The sequence below is a fragment of the Homo sapiens genome, chromosome 2, assembly GCF_000001405.40.
Source record: "Homo sapiens chromosome 2, GRCh38.p14 Primary Assembly".
NCBI lineage: Eukaryota > Metazoa > Chordata > Mammalia > Primates > Hominidae > Homo > Homo sapiens.
Genome location: NC_000002.12, coordinates 223,893,003 through 223,914,255, shown reverse-complemented (window position 1 = coordinate 223,914,255; position 21,253 = coordinate 223,893,003). Strand labels below are relative to the sequence as shown.

The 21,253-nt window shown below is 40.7% G+C and overlaps 1 protein-coding gene across 1 annotated transcript in view, besides 5 other annotated features; it reads left to right on the top strand.

Moving 5' to 3' along the window:
- Positions 1 to 21,253, top strand: part of WDFY1 (WD repeat and FYVE domain containing 1) — a 69,988-nt gene that overhangs the window by 31,080 nt on the left and 17,655 nt on the right. The window contains exons 3-8 of the mRNA NM_020830.5: positions 1,930 to 2,003; positions 8,255 to 8,309; positions 12,923 to 13,073; positions 15,186 to 15,298; positions 18,626 to 18,752; positions 19,917 to 20,022. Coding sequence (NP_065881.1) covers positions 1,930 to 2,003; positions 8,255 to 8,309; positions 12,923 to 13,073; positions 15,186 to 15,298; positions 18,626 to 18,752; positions 19,917 to 20,022 — 626 coding nt within the window. The remainder of the gene's footprint in view (positions 1 to 1,929; positions 2,004 to 8,254; positions 8,310 to 12,922; positions 13,074 to 15,185; positions 15,299 to 18,625; positions 18,753 to 19,916; positions 20,023 to 21,253) is intronic.
- Positions 17,118 to 17,317: an enhancer, noted in NCBI's record as "active region_17181". NCBI's record gives its function as "activates an Ori minimal core promoter by ATAC-STARR-seq in GM12878 lymphoblastoid cells {active_cell/tissue: GM12878}" and the evidence as "EXISTENCE:reporter gene assay evidence [ECO:0000049][PMID:35858748]".
- Positions 17,438 to 17,497: an enhancer, noted in NCBI's record as "active region_17180". NCBI's record gives its function as "activates an Ori minimal core promoter by ATAC-STARR-seq in GM12878 lymphoblastoid cells {active_cell/tissue: GM12878}" and the evidence as "EXISTENCE:reporter gene assay evidence [ECO:0000049][PMID:35858748]".
- Positions 18,239 to 18,298: an enhancer, noted in NCBI's record as "active region_17179". NCBI's record gives its function as "activates an Ori minimal core promoter by ATAC-STARR-seq in GM12878 lymphoblastoid cells {active_cell/tissue: GM12878}" and the evidence as "EXISTENCE:reporter gene assay evidence [ECO:0000049][PMID:35858748]".
- Positions 18,309 to 18,458: an enhancer, noted in NCBI's record as "active region_17178". NCBI's record gives its function as "activates an Ori minimal core promoter by ATAC-STARR-seq in GM12878 lymphoblastoid cells {active_cell/tissue: GM12878}" and the evidence as "EXISTENCE:reporter gene assay evidence [ECO:0000049][PMID:35858748]".
- Positions 18,469 to 18,528: an enhancer, noted in NCBI's record as "active region_17177". NCBI's record gives its function as "activates an Ori minimal core promoter by ATAC-STARR-seq in GM12878 lymphoblastoid cells {active_cell/tissue: GM12878}" and the evidence as "EXISTENCE:reporter gene assay evidence [ECO:0000049][PMID:35858748]".

The window sequence follows — 21,253 nt, the reverse complement described above, 5'->3', positions numbered from 1 at the left end:
GGAAGCCGAGGCAGGCTGATCATTTGAGGTCAGGAGTTCGAGACTGGCCTGGCCAACATGGTGAAACCCTGTCTATACTAAAAATACAAGAATTAGCCTGGTGTGGTGGTGGCTGCCTGTAATCCTAGCTACTCAGGAGGCTGAGACAGGAGAATCGCTTGAACCCAAGTGGCGGAGGTTGCAGTGAGCTGAGATTGCGCCACTGCACTCCAGCCTGGGTGACAGCAAGACACCATCTCAAAAAAAAAAAAAAAAAAAAAAAGCTAACTGATTTGAAAGATGATTCCTATTTTGCTTTATATCCAACCCCTCCCCTTCTACATTAAATTTATATTGCTTATCTCAGTTAGAAACCTCCTTTCTAGGGAGAGAGCCAGGATATTACTATATAATACAAAACAAACTAAGGAAGCCTTTTTTTTCTTTTTGAAATGTTATAGTTGTCTAGCTTCATAAAATTACCCAGCACTTTGTAATTTTTACACAAAAGAGGGATTTTACATATTTATGTTGTTTGTTATAGGGTTGGGCATTAAAAAAATTGAAAAGAAGCTTAAAACTAATGCATTTAGTGCCAGCTAGAAAGCAAGCAAAAATGATGACAGTGAATCTCTGAACGCATCAAAGCATGATTTGATTTGTCAAAGATAAGTGTATGCATGGTTTATTAAAGAACATTTTGATTGTATAAAGATATGTATATATATCTTTGTGGTCATAATACTTGATCGTTCTTTTAATCTCAAACATCACTGTGTCAGATAAGGGTATACAGGCTCATAGTCAATTCTAATTGTTTTGTGCACAATTTCAGTACGTACCTTTCAGAGCCAACTACATAGTTCTTGGATGCAACTGAAACAGTCTCTATGGTCTGATCATGCAGTTAGCTATGTTTTTGCTTTGGGGTACGATCCAGTATTATAGTTTACTTCCTTCCTTTGGTGAGGATATCACCCTACTAGAGAGAGAGAACTTTATATTCAAATGGTGACTTCATTTAAAAGACGTTTTTTCTTTTATCTTTTTTTTTTTTTTTTTTTGAGATGGAGTTTCACTGTGTTGTCCAGGCTGATCTCAACTCCTGGCCTCAAGCAATCCTCCTGCCTTGGCCTCCCAAAGTGCTGAGATTACAGGCATGAGCCACCCTACCCACCCGTCTTTTATGAGAAGTTTTATTCCAAAGTGAATTCAAATTTGTTTGTTTTGTTTTGTTTTTCCCTAGCATGCATTTCCTTGTTTTGGTTCTTCCATTGCTAATTAAAATTCCTTAGGCTGAAACAAACCCACATTTTTTTTCCAAATGTTCCAATTTATAAATCACTTTAATTCTAATTTTTGGTAAAAGACAATTTAGAATTTCTCCTTTCTGAAACTCATTCTCTAGCCTGTGATTTCTGGAAGAGGGTAGGGTAGAACATGGAAGGAGGACAAGGAAACCTGTCTGCACTTCACAACTCACATATGCCATATATCTGCACCTCACATATGCTCACTTATGCCATAGAATGGGAATTCTGGTGCTGGGAACCCATCTTTGCACAGCTACTCTTTGACATTTGATGGGAAGGGTGGCAGGGGCGGGATGACCTCCTGAGCTTTTGGGCAGCAGGTCACACACTACAAGCACTGGTCCCCAAGGCTTGCCAGACTACAGGTAGTACTTTCAGTCAGATGAAGCTTCATGCTGGCTCACTTCACCCAGCATTATAGAAACAACTGAGAAGATTTGTGAAATCAAGGTTTTAAACTAAGACAACAGAGAGAACTTTAATAACATTTTCAATTTACGTAATTTGTATAAAACGTTTTTACCCTCTTTCTGTGAACCTAAATTATATAGTTCTTATCATATAGTTCTTAATCACTTTGAAGAACAACTTAAAGTGCTTAGCTTTGCTGGTAATGTGGTCTTTGTCTTTCTGGCAGCTCCTTGCTCTGCTATGGCTTACCATCATGACAGCAGACGGATATTTGTGGGCCAGGATAATGGAGCTGTAATGGTAGGTAGCTTTTAGAATGTATTTATTGTATTCTTTATATTATATTCTTTATATTGACCTCCCATGTCCCATATTGGCCAGTTAACTTTGGATTAACAATGGATGCTCGATTGTTTGGCATGAAAAATGTTTAATTTAGGCCAAGCACAGTGGCTCACATCTGTAATCCCAGCACTTTAGGAGGCTGAGGCGGGCGGATCGCTTGAGCCCAGGAGTTTGAGACCAGCCTGGGTAACATAGTGAGACCTCATCTCAACGAAAAATCAAAAAAATTAATTGGTAGTGGTGCATGCCTGTGGTCCCAGCTGCTTAGGAGACTGAGGTGGGAGGATGGCTTGAGCCCAGGAGGTCAAGGCTGACAGCTAGCTGAGATTGCACCACTGCACTTTCGCCTGGGCAGCAGAGGGAAACCATGTCTCAAAAAAAAAAAAAAAGTTTAATTCAGTATAGATATTAGGTCAAAAATGGATTAAATTATTGCTTAATTTTAAACTAGTTCCTTGGAGCTCAGAATGCTGTCGTAATTGATAGCTGGGTGCTCGGGCTGACCCACAGATCATAGCCTTCATAGAGTGAATACGTCACCTATAGCAGCCCCCATCCCTTAGCCGTGATGGTGGAGAGCCTCTGTCACTCTGTGTGTGTGTGTGTGTGTGTGTGTGTGTGTGTGTGTGTGTGTGTGTGTGGTCATTCAGCTAGCAACTCACAGAACTCTTTAAGGCAATACTTCTCAAACTATCTTTGGCAAAGGACCTGATATTCAAGTTTCTAGTCTGTTATAGACTGGCATTTTTGTGCGTCAAATTGTATGCATACATTTGTTTTTTCTTAATTGAAATATAACTTAAATAACATAATTATATTTACCATTTTAAAGTATATAATTGTGTGGTCTTGTAGCATATTCATAAGATTGTGCAACCATTACCACCATTCTCTAATTCCAGAATATTTTCATCACCCCTCCCTGCAAAAAAATCCCATACCCATTAGCAGTCACTCTCCATTGCCCCTTCCCCCAGCTCCTGGAAATCACTAATTTACTGAATCCAAGGATTTGCCTATTTTAGACACTTTATATAAATAGACTCATACAATATGTGTGGCCTTTTATGTCTGTCTTTCACTTAACATAATGTTTTCAAGGTTCATGCCTGTTTGAATTAATTAATTATTTTTGCAGTGGAATAGCATTCTATACTGCATTTGGTTGATCCGTTTATTAGTTGATAGACATTTGGGTTGTTTTCACTTTTTGGCTATTATCAATAACGTTGCTATGAAAATTCATGTACATGTTTTTGCATGGACATATTTTTTTCTATTCTCTTGGGTATGTATACCTAGGAGTGGAATTGCTGGGTCATATGGTGACTATATTGAACTTGTAAGCAACTATGAAACTGTTTTCCATAGTGGCTGCACCATTTACATTCTCACCAGCAACACGCAAGGTTTCCGGCTCTCCAAATCCTTGCTAACACTTGTTATTTTCTGCTTGTTTTGTTTTGCTTTGTTTTTGTTATGGTCATCCTGGGGGGTGTGAAATGGTACCAGATTGTGGTTTTGATTCGCGTTTTCCTAATGACTAGTGATGTTGAGGATCTTCTTAGGTACTTGTTGGTCATTTATATCTTCTTTGGAGAAATATCTATTGAAGTCCTTTGCCCATTTTTAATAGAGTATTTTTTAATTGTTGAGTTGTAAGAGTTTTTTTCTGTATGTTAGATACTAGACCCTTATCAGATATATGATCTGCAAATATCTTCTCCTAAGAGCTGCCTTTTTACTTTTTTTTTTTTTTTAAGTTTGGTGAAGTCCAATTTATCTTTTTTGTTTTTGGCTACTTAAGCTTTAGATACCATATCTAAGAAACTATTGCCTAATCCAAGGTCATTTATATCTGTAAAGATAGGTGTAAATCAAGATTTACACCTGTATTTTCTTCTGAGAGTTTTATAGTTTAGCTTTACATTTAGATCTTTGATTTATTGTAAGTTAATTCCTATAGTGGTATCAGGGAGGGGTTCCACATTTATTCTTCTGTATGTGGACATCCAGTTATCCCAGCACCAATTGTTTAAAAGACTATTTTTTTTCCCCCATTTAAGTTTTTTGGCATCTTTGTCACAGAGCCAGCCAGGCAGAGAGCCAGGGAAGAGTTTCCAGAAGTCAATGTTATAGTGGCTTGATGGTGCAGGGCTATATAGGGAGGGCACCCTAGGGCGATTGGAGAATTGGGCAGAGGCCGGGTCATGCAAGGTCTTGTAGGTCTGGGTAAAGCTTTAAATTTTATTGTAATTGCAGTGAGAAGCTGTTAAAGTGTTTTCAGCAGATGAATAGCATGATGTAATTTACATTTTTCGAAGATCACCCTAGCTACTGGGTAGAGAACAGATTGAGGCACGGCCAGAGTGGCGGTGGGAGAATCAGATTGTTTTAGCGGCCTGGGTGAAGGGACAGTGGCCATGAAGAAGGACAAATGGATGGACTTGAGTTGAGATAAGTCTTGGAGACATCTGAGATAAGTTGGCTGTGTAGAGGAGAGGAAGAGAAGTCAGATGACAGCCAGGTTTTTGGCTTGAGCAGCTGGGTAGGAAGTAGTATTGTTCGCTGAGAAGGGTAAGGCTGGGTGGGGGAGGCAGTTGGAGGGAGAGGGGACAGTGAGAGCCAGCCTAGTTTAAGATACCAGTGAGCTTCCAACTGGCCATGTGAAGTTGGCACAGGATAAACAAAACGAGTCCCGGAGAGGTCTGGGCAGAGGGCATCATCATCAGGTCATTTTTCAAGCCACAAGAATGACTGTGAGTAGCTGGGGAGGGAATGAAAGAAGTCAGGGCCCAGACCTGCTGCCTAAATAATGACACTGTTTTGGAGTGGGGTCAAAGGGGAGGCCAGCCAGGGAGGAGGGGAAATGATGATCCTTGAGTGTGACTTTAAGGGGCCCAGACCACGTTATGTAAGCTGAATTTCCTGACCTTGCATAGTCACGCCAATCATTGAGGGAACTTACTAAAATACAGATTCCCCGGCTCTATGCCAGACCTAGAGCTTCGGAATCACTAGGGAGGGGCCTGGGGATCTGTACAATAAGTAGCAAGTCCTCTAGATGAACCCTAGGGTCAAGTGCTTTAGGGAAACTACATGGTTTTGCTAAAACCTCTGAGGAGCAGGAGCAGGTTTCTGGTTTTTGTGAGCTCAGAAATTTGTAGCAGGCTTTGAAGGGACAAGGCTGAAAGTGCAGGTGCCAGTTAGGAGGCTGCCTCCGGACCCCAGTGTGAAATCATGAAATACTGGGGTGGTGATGGAGAAGAGGCTGTGGCCTCAAGAACTGTCCGGGAAGCAGGGCTGGGTGTGTGAATAAAGGTGTGTGTTGAAATAGGGAGCAGCTTTAAGATGACTTTCAGGTTTCTAGCCAGGAATTAGCTGTCTTCAGAGACAGAAAAGATGCTGATCTTTTTTGGGGAAAGGTGATGAGTTCAGTTTTGAGAACCGACCTTGGGTGTGTGTGCTGGAACCTCAGGGTTTGGTCTGGGCAGGGGTTGGGAGTTCCCTGAACATAGACGTCAGTGGAAACTACAACGGTGGCTGCCGTGAACTAGAGAGAGCAGGTACATTGAGAAAAGCAGAGGGCCAAGGTCACATTCCTAGGGAAATGTCAATATTTAAAGAAAAGCCAGAGGACTGGGAGCCTAAAGGAGAGACAGGAAGAATGGGCAAAGTGGGAGGAGAGCCAGCCAGGACAGTGCAGCCACGGAAGCTGGAGGGCAGTGAGTTTCAGGGAGGAGGTGAGTAAAGGTGTCAAGGGCAGGAGGGAGAGGATGAAATTGGGCCTGGCTAGTGCCTTTGGGATGGCACGTAGAAGACAGCTGCTGATAACAAGAAGAGCCTTTCCATGCAGTGGGGTAGCCCTGGTGAGCCATGGACTGAAGTGTGACTGGGAGATGTGGGAGCCAGAGAGCCTGAGGGTAACCAGAGTGGTCTGGTCATTAGAGAAGCTTTTGGCTGAGAAGGGGTCAAGGAAAGTAGAAGTATAGTTATGAGAGTTTCATTGTTTTTATTTATGTATTTATTTTTTAATGAAAGAAGCAGCCTTGGACCAGGTGTGGTGGCTCATGCCAATAATCTCAGCACTTTGGGAGGCTTAGGCAGGAGGATTGAGCCCAGGAGTTAGAGACCAGCCTGGGCAATATTAGTGAGACCTCATCTCTACAAAAAATAAAAAAATTAGCTTAGTGTGGTGGCATACCCATATAGCCCCACTACTCAAGAGGCTGAGGTGGGAGGATCACTTGAGCCTGGGAAGTGGAGGTTACAGTGAGCAGAGATTGCACCACTGCACTCCAGCCTGGATGGCAGAACAAGACCCTGTCTCAAAAGAAAGAGAAAAAAAAAAAAATAGCAGCAGCAGCCTTGATGTAAGGGCCGAGAAGAAAGATCCAGTGGAAGGGACAGGCTCCCTGCCCATGCAGTTCACACAGCAGCAGGCGGCAGGTGAGGGTGCTGGAAATGCATGACACAGTAGTGAATGCTGAAGCTCTCCGTTTTAGCTTTCAGAAAATTTTATAGGAATATCATCATGTGCATACACACATATAATGAGAAGCCACTAAGTACAAGCTTCATATAGTGCAGTGGTGCAGTGTTGGTGCATTTATCTCCCTAGGGACCCTTCTTGTGGCCTTCAGTTCAAGGGGAGACTGTCATTATAGGATGGCACATAAGAACTGTTACAGTTGTTCAATGGAAAGGGGCAATGCAAATCCAATTTAGCATTAGTTAGCAATTGATCAATTGCTCTTCCACTGAATACAGATTAATATATACAGTGCTGATACATTTTTTCTACTTTACAAAAACAAGATGGAAAACAAGAAATCTGTATTCTTTTGTGTGCTTTTTTCCCCCCTCACTCTGGTCTGTCAGCAATTCATAATATCCATGTCAATTTAGCATTGATCAATAATAGTATTCTTGGCTGGGCACGGTGGCTCATGCCTGTAATCCCAGCACTTTGGGAGGCCAAGGGGGGTGGATCACTTGAGGCTGTGAGTTCAAGACCAGGCTGGCCAACATGGTGAAACCCTGTCTGTACTAAAAATACAAAAAAATTAGCCGGGTGTGGTGGCATGCACCTTTAGTCCCAGTTACTCAGGACTCTGAGGCACAAGAATCGCTTGAACCCAGGAGGCAGAGGTTACAGTGAGCTGAGATTGCATCACTGTACTCCAGCCTGGGTGACAGAGCGAGACTCTGTCTCAAAATAATATAATAATAATAATAATAATAATAATAATGGTAGTAGTAATTCGTGATTTTTCTTTAGAGTTTTATCTTCATAGCTTTAGTTGAGGTTGATTTTTTTGCAATAAAACACATGTACTTTAAATTTCTTTTCCAAGTTATAAAGTATTACATCTATAGAAAGTTTGGGGCCAGGTGCAGTGGCTCACGCCTGTAATCCCAGCACTTTGGGAGGCTAAGGTGGGTGGATCACCTGAGGTCAGGAGTTCGAGACCATCCTAGCCAACATGGTGAAACCCCATCTCTATTAAAAATACAAAATTTAGCTGGGTGTGGTGGTGCACTTCTGTAATCCCAGCTACTTGGGAGGCTGAGGCAGGAGAATCACTTGAACCCAGGAGGCAGAGGTTGCAGTGAGCCGAGGAAGCAACAAGAGCGAAACTCTGTCTCTAAATAAATAAATAAATAAATAAAATTTGGAAAATATGGGATCATAAAAAGACAAAAACCACCCACAATCTCAAAATTTCTCTTTTGTTGTTGTTGTGTTTGTATATTAAATAGGTGTACTTTCCCCCACTAAATTGCTGAGCTACCCAGTGCCCTGTTTTTACTGTAGCTGAGAGCTCTGTTAGTGAGGGGTCTTTGCAGTTTTGCTTTAATATGCAGTGTCTTGAGGGATTTTTTGTGTCACTAAGAGAATAAAGTTTTGTAGTAGGAGGGAGAAGGAATATGGAGTGCTGATCTGGGCAGGAAGAAGTGGACACAAATCCCATGCTGATCAGCAGCACTTACTTTATTCAATTCGGTCTGTTCTCCCAAACAATGTTGGCCTGAGGACAGGTCTGGTGAAAGAAGCAATTCATATCATTCCTAAATAACTCGCCTTAAGTCCTAGGTCTTGTGATAATCATTTTTGGATTTTACTTCATTTTTGAAAGTCAAGTTTCTGTTGTTTTTTAAAACCATAACTCTTTTAATTTTTTATTTTGTGCATTTGCTTTTAGGAATTTCACGTTTCTGAAGATTTTAATAAAATGAACTTTATCAAGACCTACCCAGGTAATTATAATACACATTATCTTGCGTACACATACATGTAGACATACACAAAACTAGAACATCATCTCTTATGATGAAAATTAGATTTTCACATTAACTTTTTAGTTTTGTTACCCCCACTATGCAAGAGACTTGTCTTTTAGTGATATTTCAGCTTTTTCTTGCTCATTAACATTTAAAATTTTGTATATCAGGCACATGTATCAGATTTAATTAACCATTCTTTTATTATTGGATATGTGTACTGCTTCCATTTTTTTTTTGATAACACACACTACTCTTCATACATGTATGTGTGTGTATATAACTGAGTGTACAATTTTTTGATATGTGTATACACATTGTGTGTGTGTATTGAATAAGTATATACACGTGTGTGTGTGTGGGTATTCTCCACTGTTATTCTGACTCTAATCCTATAATTCATTGTTTCTATTTTATTTTGTTTTGTTTAAATGGAGACGAGGTCTCAGTATGTAGCCCAAGCTGGTCTCGAACTCCTGACCTTAAGTGACCCTCCCACCTCAGTCTCCCAAAGTGCTAGAATTCAGGTGTGAACCACCACACCTGTCCAAATTCTATAATTCCGATTATTTAAGACAAATCCCTAGGTGCTCAGTGAGGAATTTTTTTTTTAAGACAAATTCCTACAAAGTGGAATAACCGGGTCAGACATTAAAAAGTTTTTTAAGTGCCCTAGATTTATTTTGCAGACTGCTTCACAGCAATAGTGCAAGTTTTTACAGTCTGCGAATGGCAGCTGAGAATACCTGTTCATGAAGTCTTCACAACATGGCTGCCTCATAATTTCTTTTTCCTGTTTTATAGTCAAGAAAGTTCTCAATTTGAAAATGATTTAAGCTTTATTTAATGTTGACCATTTGTTGTCTTTTCTGAATGTCCGTTTATGATTTTACGCATATTCCCAGGGAGCTGGAGTGTTTTCTAACTGAATTGTAAGCACTTTTCACTACAAAGCTATCAATACTTTGTGGCATCTGTGACATATACCTTTTTTTCAGTTTTTACTTTATTTTGTAAATTTCAATATTTTAAAACTTAACAAAAGCAAGATCCCAATGACAACTTCAGATTGAAGTTGCAAAACTAAAGCATTTTGATTAAGTTGTGGATTCCCATCAGAGCAATTAGCTGATTCCCAGAAACTTCACCAGAGGACATGACATTTAGCCTCATTTTATTCACTCTATATTTCTAAAATTTTATACTTAATGCTTGTGGATAAAGGTAAAAATTAGAGTGTAGATGTTTTACGTATGTGTTGTTCATCTTGGTGAAATGTGGTCTAATAATAGGATACTTTAATAAGAAGGCCAAATTGCTTTTCCCTACATATTGTTTCACCTGTTCCAAATTTAAAATAGGAGAAAAGCATCCAGGCACGGTGACTCACCCCTGTAATCCCAGCACTTTGGGAGCCTGAGGCAGGTACATCACTTGAGGTCAGGAGTTTGAGGCCAGCCTGGCCAACATGGTGAAAACCCGTCTCTACTAAAAATAACAAAAATTAGCTGGACCTGGTGACACATGCCTGTAGTCCCAGCTACTTAGGAGGCTGAGGCAGGAGAATCGCTTGAACCCGGGAGGCGGAGGTTGCAGGGAACCAAAATCGCACCACTGCACTCCTGCCTGGGCAACAGAGCGAGACTCCTTCTCAAAAATAAATCAATAAATAAAATAGGAGAAAAGTGATATAACAATGACCATACATTTGTCCTTGGAGTATGTTGGTCAGGGAAACTGTTTTGTAACAATGAATGATAACACTTTCCAATCTTGCACTGAGTAATGTACTAGCATTATGGTGTTATTATAACACCAGAAGCAACTTTGAATTCTCAGCCATCATGTGCAGGTTTATCTTTAAAATAATCAAGAATCCGTAAATTCCTTTATGAGGTATATACCTACGAGTTTGGAGACCTTTAAATGCCAGGCTTGGAGACCCTTAAATGCCTGGTCAATGTTTTTGTCAAAAGGCAAATTCCTTAATAAATTATTTCATCTGGACAGTTGTGGTAGCTCCCACCTGTAATCCTAGCACTTTGAGAAGCCAAGGAGTTTGAGACCAGCCTGGGCAACATAGAGAGACCATACTGCTATAAAAATGTAGCCAGCCATGGTGGCACATGCTGTAGTCCCAACTACTTGGGAGGCCGAGGTGGGAGGATCACTTGAGCCCAGGAGTTAGAGATTACAATGAACCATCATCAGACTACTGTACTCCAGCCTGGGCAACAGAGTGAGATCCTGTCCCTTTTTTTAAAAAAAAAAAAACAAAAAACGTGTGTGTGTGTGTATTTTTCATCTTTCATTAAGGATCAAATTATTTCATATTCACATCTCATGTTATTATCTATATTTTGGTTGTCAAAGGTTTTTTTTTGTTTTGTTTTGTTTTTTGAGAAAGAGCCTCACTCTGTTGCCCACACTGGAGTGCAGTGGCACGATCTTGGCTCACTGCAACCTCTGCCTCCTGGGTTCAGTCAATTCTCCTGCCTCAGCCTACCTAGTAGCTGGGATTACAGGTGCGAGCCACCACGGCCAGCTAATTGTTTGTATTTTTAGTAGAGAAGGGGTTTCACCATGTTGGCCAGGCTGGTCTTGAACTCTTGGCCCCAAGTGATCCTCCTGCCTCGGCCTCCCAAAATGCTGGGATTACAGGCATGAGCCACCAAGCCCCGCTGGTTGTCAGAGTTCTTTATGGGCTATAAGGCAGCATAGGTTTCTTGTGCAGTGGTTCTTGGACCTTTATATTTCATTGACTAATAACATTTTAGAAAACATTTGGAGGACTAATATAGGGATTGCTGTATTTTTTATTTTGCCAAGTGAGAGTTTAAAAACTAAAAATGAAGCAAAATAAGCATGACTGTATCTCACCATACTTTCATAAAAGAAAGGATATCAGAAAAAACCAAACAGCAGAAAGGATATAATCTTAGAAATAGGATGGCTCTTCCCAGGAAAAAATAGTTGACTATTCACTACAGCATCTTTACCACAAACTAGTTTAAACCCTATGACTGTTTGGCCCGAGTTTAACAACTACAGATTTAGTGGAAAAAGTGTTTTGAGTGAGACAGACCAAATTAATCTATCACTTATTAGACTTTAGGCGTATATTAATATTTATATTTAATATATATTTATAAATATTTTATAAATAATATTTGCATTTCAGTTTTCTTATCTGAAAATCAGTATAATAATACACACCCTGTAAGTATTTATGGAAATTAAATATCATTAAAACAGAAAAAGCATTAGGCTCCACATCAGACGCTGAGACAGATCTTATGAGATATGGCCTACTCAAATTTAACATTATTTTCAGTTTTAAATTTTTATTTTTTAATTAGAGACAGGGTCTCGCTGTCTTACCCAGGCTGGAGTGCAGTGGTGCAATCATAGCTCAATGTAACCTCCAACTCCTGGGCTCAAGGGATCCTCCCATCTCAGCCTGCTGAGTAGCTAGGACTCCAGGCAAGTGCCACCATGCCCAGCTGGTTTTAAAAAATTTTCTGTAGAGGTGGGGTCTTGCTTTGTTGCCCAGGCTGGTCTCCAACTCCTGGCCTCAAACAATCCTCCTGCCTCGGCCTCCCAAAAGTGCTGGGATTATAGGTGTGAGCCACTGTGCCCAGCTGAATTTAAGATTAATAGCTATCATAGCATCCTTTAAGTTTCAGAATCCTTCATGAGTATTTAATTGTTCAGTGTAACCTTTTAGCAGTGGATGAATCTGACCTGCACGTAGACTTTTGGGGAGAGTCCCTCAGTTCTTCCTAAGCAGTCTGTACAGCTGAGAGCAAGGTCAGCAGTTTCTCTGTCAGGCCTTTGACTTCATTCATCAGACTGGATGCTTATTAAACATCTACTACATGCAAAGTTCTGTACCAGATGAAGTTGAAGGCAGGTTACACTGCCCCGGTGTGGCTTATAATTGACCTGGAAATATTTCCAGAGTTAGGTAACAGACAGAATACCTTCCTCATTCTCAGCTGTTATTTTGGAACAGAGAACTTTACAAAAGCTTTGTCTTTGTAAATAATAAAATGTTACACACTGATAAAAAGTATTCCAGAAACCAAACACATAACACCATTTTTTAATTTTAGAAAACTGCCATTGCTCTTACTTAGAATGCCAGTGTTTTCTGAAGGTTCAAAACACTGAAGTTACAGACGATTAAAACATTGCACTGTTACAACTGCTGCTTTCCACATGGTTCTTGTTCATACAGTTTTTTAGAGCAAAGTAAAAATGTTCTCTTGAGCATAGCAAAAAAAAAAAAAAATCTGTTCTCTAATCTATTATTTGATTTCTCCTTGAGCGTTACTCTTTAATGATTCCTAGCTTCTGGTGGCCATGCCTGTGGGGAGCAGAGGGCACCGCCTTGGAGAGAGCCTGTGCTAGTGAGTTGTTGAGCTGGGGCGGGTTGTCTGAAATATACTCACAGAGGACAGGCATTTCCAGTACACTCTTGTACACAGCTGTGCCCTGGCTGAGCAGATTGAGAGGTTGAGCCTCAGTTCTTCCCCATAGAGTGCTGTTTCTGGAGATGACATCTGTTCACCTTTCTGTTCCTGCAGCTCATCAGAACCGGGTGTCTGCGATTATCTTCAGCTTGGCCACAGAGTGGGTGATCAGTACCGGCCACGACAAGTGTGTGAGCTGGATGTGCACGCGGAGCGGGAACATGCTCGGGAGGCACTTCTTCACGTCCTGGGCTTCGTGTCTGCAGTATCCTTCAGAGCCACGGACCTCTCCTTCCCCTGGCCTCTGCTTCTCAGTGTTTGGTTCTGAATCTCATCCCAAATGGCTGAGATCTAAAGACTGAATGAAACCTATTTAAGTTTGTGCAAAAGTAATTGCATTTTTTTTTTTACCATGGAAAGTAATTGCAAAAATTGCAATTACTTTTGCACCAACCTAATACATATTTCACTGAAAATCCGAGAACTTCCGTAAGTTTGCTGTAAATTGGGTTTATTAAAAATAATGAAATGAATTGTTCTGTGCTGGGAGGTGCTATAGGTTTTTAATTCAAAATTGTGGAAAACCCAAGCCCATTAATGCAAACCCTTCCTCTCATGTCTTTGTGTTTCTAATGGAAAGACTTTTTATTGTGTGAAGGAAGGAAAAAAGGAACTTGTCTTCTAGTAATTGGTTATTTGCAGACTCTGTAAGTATATGTACTGAACATTAAGGGTTTATAGCCCTGGGGTTTGTTCCTAAATGGGCTACAAGGAGTTTTACACAAAACTTTTGCTTAATGCTTTTTTTTGTGTGGAGAGGACCCATAATCCTTATAATACTCTCAAAGATGGCTCAGGATCCCCCAAAATGCTAAAAATCACGGCCTAAAAAATTCCTGCTACTACATGGAATTTGCTTCATGTAGAGCTCGCCCTTACCTAAGGATACCTCTGCCTGCTGTGTATCTTAGTGATGGCAAGATCAAGGTTATCAACAACAGGCAGACACCCCGCAGTAGTTTCTCTCTCAGAGTTGAATGTCTGGCTTAGTAAAATTCTGTCCATTGAAAGCCTTTCTTTAAAATGTTTGCTACAAATGAATGCACAGCATGAGATATTTAAAATAGTATCATATACTTTAGGATCAAACAAGCAAAAAATACTCTGATATAGTATGTGCTACATAAGCGTTTTTGTTACGTGCTAGGCCTCTCAAAATGGATTTGTAGAAAATGACACAGAATCACAGTTCATGCCCTAGTTTACGGTGCTCTTTTTGACCCGTGTTTTGGAAGAGTGATAGTTATCCTACTGTAAATAGCTTTCCTATTACAAATAGTAGTTAACATGTCGTGTATAAATTTCTGGTTTTCCACAAATATCTATGACCACAAATCGAGAAAGTAATGAGTTGTGACCAATAGTTAATATATTTTCTAAATTTAAATGTACTACCGCCACAAATAACTGCGTTTTGGATTATTAAACTATCCACAGTAATTTAAAGTGAATCATCCTCTTCATTTATAGCTAAATTCTCTAGGCCAAAAGAAACATGGATTCATGTCTTGTATTTACTGTCAGATTTACATTATTTTCAGAGATATTTCATAAATAACCATTACGTTTCAGAGCTTTCTTGCTGTTTTCAGTAGTTAGCAATTTCTTTTTCTTTTCTTTCCTTTTTTTTTCTTTTTTTGAGAAAGAGTCTTGCACTGTCACCCAGGCTGGAGTGGTACAGTGGCACCATCTCAGCTCACTGCAGCCTCTGCCTCCTGGGTTCAAGCTGTTCTCTTGTCTCAGCCTCCTGAGTAACTGGGATTACAGGCGTGTGCCACCACGCCCAGCTAATTTTTTGTGTTTTTAGTAGAGACGGGGTTTCACCATGTTGGCCAGGTTGGTCTTGAACTCCTGACCTCAAGTGATCTGCCCGCCTCAGCCTCCCAAAGTGCTGAGATTACAGGCATGAGCCACTGCAGCCAGCCCAGTAGTTATCAGTTTTACTCTTTGACACTTTATTGTACTTGATTATATCTACTTGTTTTCGTGTGTGTCTGCCCTACCAGCTCTTTTTTTATTGCCAGTTCCTGGGATCTTGCTTGATATAGTAACAGGCACTCAATGAGTTCCTGTTGAATGAATGAATATAAACTTTCTCAGTAATAACAGCTGTTTTAATTTTTACCTTCAATATTTACATATTGCATGCTTTTCAGTTGGGTGTTTCCTTTCTTGTTATAGTTTTACGTGTATGCTTATTCTCTTTAAAATGCATGTTTTCTAACTTTGAAAACTAACTTTGACTAATGCTGGTATCTCTCTTATGAGAGGACTTTCAGGTGATTTCTGTTCTACATCCTTGACTGCTTCTCCTCAGATATGACTTTGACACTCAGTATGCTTTCGTTGGTGATTATTCTGGGCAGATCACCCTGCTGAAGCTTGAACAGAACACGTGTTCAGTCATCACAACCCTCAAAGGACATGAAGGTAGGCTATATTATCACCCAAGAGTTTTTTTTGCCTAACTTGGACATCCAAATTCAGTTCTCTACTATGTGGATTCATGAATGCTGTGTTCCTCATGATCTGTCAGATTTCATTTTGATTGGCCAGATATGGGATTTAGAGTGAAAACTAAGTGAAGGTGGGGTGATGGGTTCATTTCATATTGTCGAAATCCCTTCTAAATTGCTTGTGTGGATAATACTTTCTACGTTGCTTACCTTTTTAAATTAAGTTATGGCTGGCACATTGGTTCACACCTGTAATCCCAGCACTTTGGGGGCCGAATTAGGTGTACCACTTGAGGCCAGGAGTTCGAGACCAGCCTGGCCAACACAGCAAAACTGCCTCTCTACTAAGAATACAAAAATTAGCCAGGCATGGTGGCGCATACCTGTAATTCCACCCCTAGCTACTCGGAAGGCTGAGGCAGGAGAATCACTTGAACCTGGGGGGCAGAGGTTGCAGTGAGCCGAGATTACAGCACTACACTCCTGCCTGGGTGACAGAGTGAGACTCTGTCTCAAAAAAATAGAAATAAAAATAAAATAAGTTATTGTGCTGGGAAGACCTTTAAAATTACTTCTAACTGGTAAAAACCTTTTGGAAGAATTGTTGTTATTACTTTAAAAAAATTTGTCAGTTTCTAAGCCCCTGAGCAAGACCTGATAAATACAATTAGAAGAAATGTGTGGGCTGGTTCAGCCTCTGCTTGGGAAACATACCCTGTGTAGGGACTGAGGGAAAAGAATTACTGGGTGGAATTTCATTTCTGTAGTGCAGTGGGTTGGTGAAGCTCTGTGGAGGGGTTTTTAAAGTCCATTGATTGTATTGAGTGACTCGCCACATACACATGTGTAATAAAGAGGTTTCATTAGATGCTGTATTGGGCCATTCTTGCATTGCAGTAAAGAAATATCTAAGACTGGGTAATTTATAAAGAAAAGAGGTTTAATTGGTTCGTGGATCTACAGGCTGTACAGGAAGCATGGTGCCGGCATGCTTCTGGTGAGGGCCTTAGGAAGCTTACAGTCATAGCAGAAGGTGAGGTGTGAACAGGCACATCACATGACAAAAGCAGGAGTGGGGGTGTGGGGGTGCCACACACTTTTAAACAACCATATCTCAAGGGAGCTCATTTACTGACTCAAGGAGAGCACCAAGGGGATGGCACTAAACCATTCGTGAGAAATCCACCCCCATGAGCCAACTACCAAGCCCCACCTGCAACATTGGGGATTACAGTTTAACATGAAATTTAGAGGCTGGGCCCGTTGGCTTACACCTGTAATCCCAGCACTTTGGGAGGCTGAGTTGGGCAGATCACTTGAGGTCAGGAGTTTGAGACCAGCCTGGCAACATGGCGAAACCCCATCTCTACTAAAAATACAAAAAACATTAGCTGGACGTTGGCAGGTGCCTGTAGTCCCAGCTACTCAGGGAGGCTGAGGCAGGAGAATCTCTTGAACCCGGGAGGCAGAGGTTGCAGTGAGCCAAGATCATGCCATTGCACTCCAACCTGGGTGACAGAGAGAGACTCCGTCTTAAAAAATATATATATATATATATATATATATATATATATATATATGCGAAATTTAGAGGGGACACATGTCTAAACTATGTCAGATGCTAAGCTGTAATGGATTGCAGTTTTCATACAGATCACAAGATCACATTCTGATATATGTCACAAAGTACAAGCTTTGAGGCCATCTGGTTTATGGAGAACTGGGGAGTTGCTGAAAGAATCAATGATGGACTTATTTATGACCATAGTAAGCGTTTCAGTTGTAACAAGTTATAATAAATGTACACTATGCTTTCTATGTAATCTATTTAGGTGAAATGGAGTATATCAAATCAAGGACCCTGTAGGGGAAAAGAAGAAAAGAGAACAGCAAGTTAAAATAGCTTTGGGCAGGAAAGCAGAGGCCCGTGAAGAAACCACTTTCTGTTTATGACTAATTCTCTCATGACCCCCAGGCTCGCCAGTTTTTTCAGGGTTGCTAAAGGCAGAATGGGTTCTAGTAACTACCAGAATGGGTACTGGTTTTCATGCTGAAAGACCGTATTTATCTGCTCTTAAGCCTCTAACTGAAATGGATGGCACATAGATTACACAGGGTCGAAAGTCATGTGAAAGTAACCCCTGAAGCCTTTGCAGAATATTTGTTTCTACTTTTGTTCTGTTTTTGGAAAGTGTATGTGATAAAGTAGTTTCTGTTTGCTTTTGAATATGGCATCATTAATTTTCTATATACCTACCAAAATTATTATTAGCTTGTGTGGCTGGTTCAGTTTTACTAAGTTGATTAATGTTTCTTCTAGACAAACAGCAGTCGATGAACAAGGAAAGGACCTACTGAAAGATATACCTGTAGAAAGAAAGATTTCCCCAAGGGTTTCAAATTTGATAAGTTAGCCAATATAAAGTATGAAATGTGAAGTTCAGATTTTTCACATAAATTACTTGGCATAATTATGTAGTGTACAACAGACTTTTTTCTGTGGTACTTAATGTAATTTGCTTAAACATAGACATCTTGGGGTAAAACACCTGCCATGTCCCAGAGACCCAGAATAATCTAGATTTTTTATCTTGTGTAGGTTGGACACAGTAAACTTTACTGGTTTTTGTCACTAAATATTAGTAGCAATTTTTTTCTTCATTCTGAACATTTTGTATGTAAGCTACTTTGTAATTTTTGTCACAGAAGAACGAAAAACTTCTTTAAAAATCTTTGTATTACAAGCAGTTTTTTTTTTTTTTTTTTTTTTTTTTTTGAGACAGAGTCTCACTCTGTCACCCAGGCTGGAGCGCAGTGGTGCTATCTTGGCTCACTGCAACTTCCACCTCCTGGGTTCAAGCAATTCTCCCACCTTAGCCTCCCGAGTAGCTGGGATTACAGGCGCCTGCCACCATGCCTGGCTAATTTGTTTTTTTGGAGAGATAGGGTTTCACCATGTTGGCCAGGCCTAGTCTTGAACTCCTGGCTTCAAGTGATTCGCCCTCCTTGGCCTCCCAAAGTGCTGGGATTACAAGTGTGAGTCACCATGCCCGGCCCAAAGTAGTTTGATGCATAATTGAAAATTGTAATCTTATGACTGTGGATAATGGTGCTGTGTCTTCTGTATGACTCATGATAGCATGGTTGAATGACCCGTTGTACACCATGAAGATACCTTTTTGCTTAAAGACTCAGCTGCTCCTAGTTTGGTCTTCAGCTGTCAAATGTATACGTCCTGATGTAGAGTTATATTTTACTTCTCCCCTGCCTCCCTCTCTCTCTCTCTCTCACAAATCCCTAGGTAGTGTCGCCTGCCTCTGGTGGGACCCTATTCAGCGGTTACTCTTCTCAGGAGCATCTGACAACAGCATCATCATGTGGGACATCGGAGGAAGGAAAGGCCGGACGCTGTTACTTCAGGGCCATCAGTGCGTGACCACTTGTGGGGGTGGGGAAAGAATCCGAGTTAGTGGGGAGCTAGTGAAAGGCATTAATAGTCTGATACCACTTTCTGCAAACCCCACGTTCTAAGATGGCAATTATCATTGATAGGGCTCAGTTCACTTTTAACTGCTTTCTGTCAGCCCCGAGTGTCTGATGTTTAGTAGCAAAAAACTAAACAAAACAAACAAACAAACAAAAAAACAAATGCAGGGCTTTCTTCCTCCTTAGTCCAAAGAGCACTTGCCACTTTTTCTCTCAAGGAGTCACCCTGTTGAAATATCTGATTAAGGCAGGCATAGGATAGAGATGCAGGTGAGGACTTTGACCATGGAAGGTTGCATGTAACATGATACTAAGCTGTTGTTGAGCTGGGAGCCTAACTTGTTTTTTGTTCTTTGTTTTTTTATTCTAAAAGATATTAAATTAAGAAATGTTGTCTAGTTTGACAGTGGAATTCACCTGAGTGATACCATTGTATATTTAGGATCTTGCCCTGTAGCCCTGAAAGAAAAAGAAATACATCTTCACCTTGCTTTCTTTTCTTTCCTTTTTGGCTAGGCTGCAGCTGTTACTATAATCACAGTCAAGCTGAAAATTAGCTGAGGAAACATATTATACACAAGTATAACAGGCCAAGAGCTTGTTTCCTTGGGCATCCTAAGGGGTAGTATGACAGGCATGCAGGAGGGACAGAGGTCTTTACCCCATCTGTGTGTGTCTGTGTGTGTTTGTGTGTGCACACTAGTGATCTTTGTGGTGTTTGACTCCTTGTTCATATGAATTGTGGTCAGTAGGGGAGTTATACCTCCTTCGTTCTTGTTTCTGAACAAGTAGGTAAATCTTATGCATCTGAAAGGGAAATCATGTTGATTGGTCCCAAAAACCATAGCCCTCATCAAATCTCTGGCCTACAATTCTTAATGACCGATTTGAAAGTAGTCATATATTTTATAGAAAGTATCATTCTGTATTATGAGTTATAAAATGCCAAGTAAAGTTTATACTAGAATTCATTTTACCATGCTAAATAGTCAGTGGTAAAATACCACTTGCTGATTTTAATGAGGAGAGCAATTTGAGCCTAAATGAAGACAGTTCCTGTGTTTTTCCGCATGGAGACAAGTGACTGTTGTGTGTGCTGTTTGCAGTGACAAGGTGCAGTCGCTGTGCTACCTTCAGCTCACCAGGCAGCTCGTCTCCTGTTCCTCGGACGGCGGAATTGCAGTGTGGAACATGGATGTTAGCAGAGAAGAGGTAAGAGACAAGGGCAAGTCCAGGCTGATCGGGGGAGACCCCCAGGAACCTGGCTTCTTCTTGGCTTTTCACCCCGCAAGCTGTAAATGCTGGTCCAGGTGCAGACAGTCCCAGCTTCCCCTTCTGCTAATGGGTTATTTCTGACAAGGTCCTTTGTGTCATTTTGCATTGCTTCCTCTGCTCATTTGAGAGTTTCTACCAATGACATGCAGTATATACAATCAGCGTTTAGGCTGGTTCTCAGCCTTGAGCAATACACTGAGATAACACTTTGAGACAGATTTCTGGCATATCCAGTGATTTGGACTGCATAGAGGTCCTCCGAAGCACCATTGTGGTCCCGTAGCATTCCTGTAGGAAACCCTGAGAGATGCATCAGTGACTGCTGTCAGGGACATAGCTAAACACTTGACAGGTTTCTGGGAAAATATATTTCCATTTCTCTGCTTTTACTTCCCATTGAGTTCTAGTTCACTGAGGCCATGTCGACATAGTATTCTTTTCAGGTGACCTAATTTCTAACTTGGTTCGGCCACTAACTAGTTGTGAGACCTTATTTGGTTAAGTGCCTTAATTTCTCTAAGTATCTGTTCCCTCCTACATAAAGTGGAATTGTGGAATGAAATGACTTCTCAGTTGTCTTCCAGTTCTTTAGACAGACAGTCTAATTGTCTAAACAATCTCTCTCTCTCTTTTTTTTTTTTGAGACAGGGTCTTGCTTTGTCACCCAGGCTGGAGTGCAGTGGCATGATCTTGGCTCTCTGCAGCCTCAACCTCCCAGGCTTAAGCGATCCTCCCACTTCAGCTTCCTGAGTAGCTGGGGCTACAGGCATACACTACCATGCACAGCTTATTTTTCAATTTTTTTTTTTTTTTTTTGGTAGAGACAGGGTCTTGCTGTATCGTCTAGGCTGGTCTCAAACTCCTGGGCTCAAGCAATCCTCCTGCCTCAGTCTCCCAAATTGCTGGGATTATAGGCATGAGGCACTGTGTACATTCTCTTTTTTAAATATTTTGAAGAATGCTGCAGTGAATATTCTTGACCTTGTCATTGTGTGATTGATCAATTATTTATTTCAGACAAATTTCTGGAAATAGACCTTCTGGGTCCAAGGATATATACATTCTTAAGGCTTTTTATAGATGTCGTCAAATGATTTCCAATCAAGGTTTCCATTCTCATCTCTGCCTGTACTGTCATTATCTTTCTTTTCTAAGTGACATCTACAAC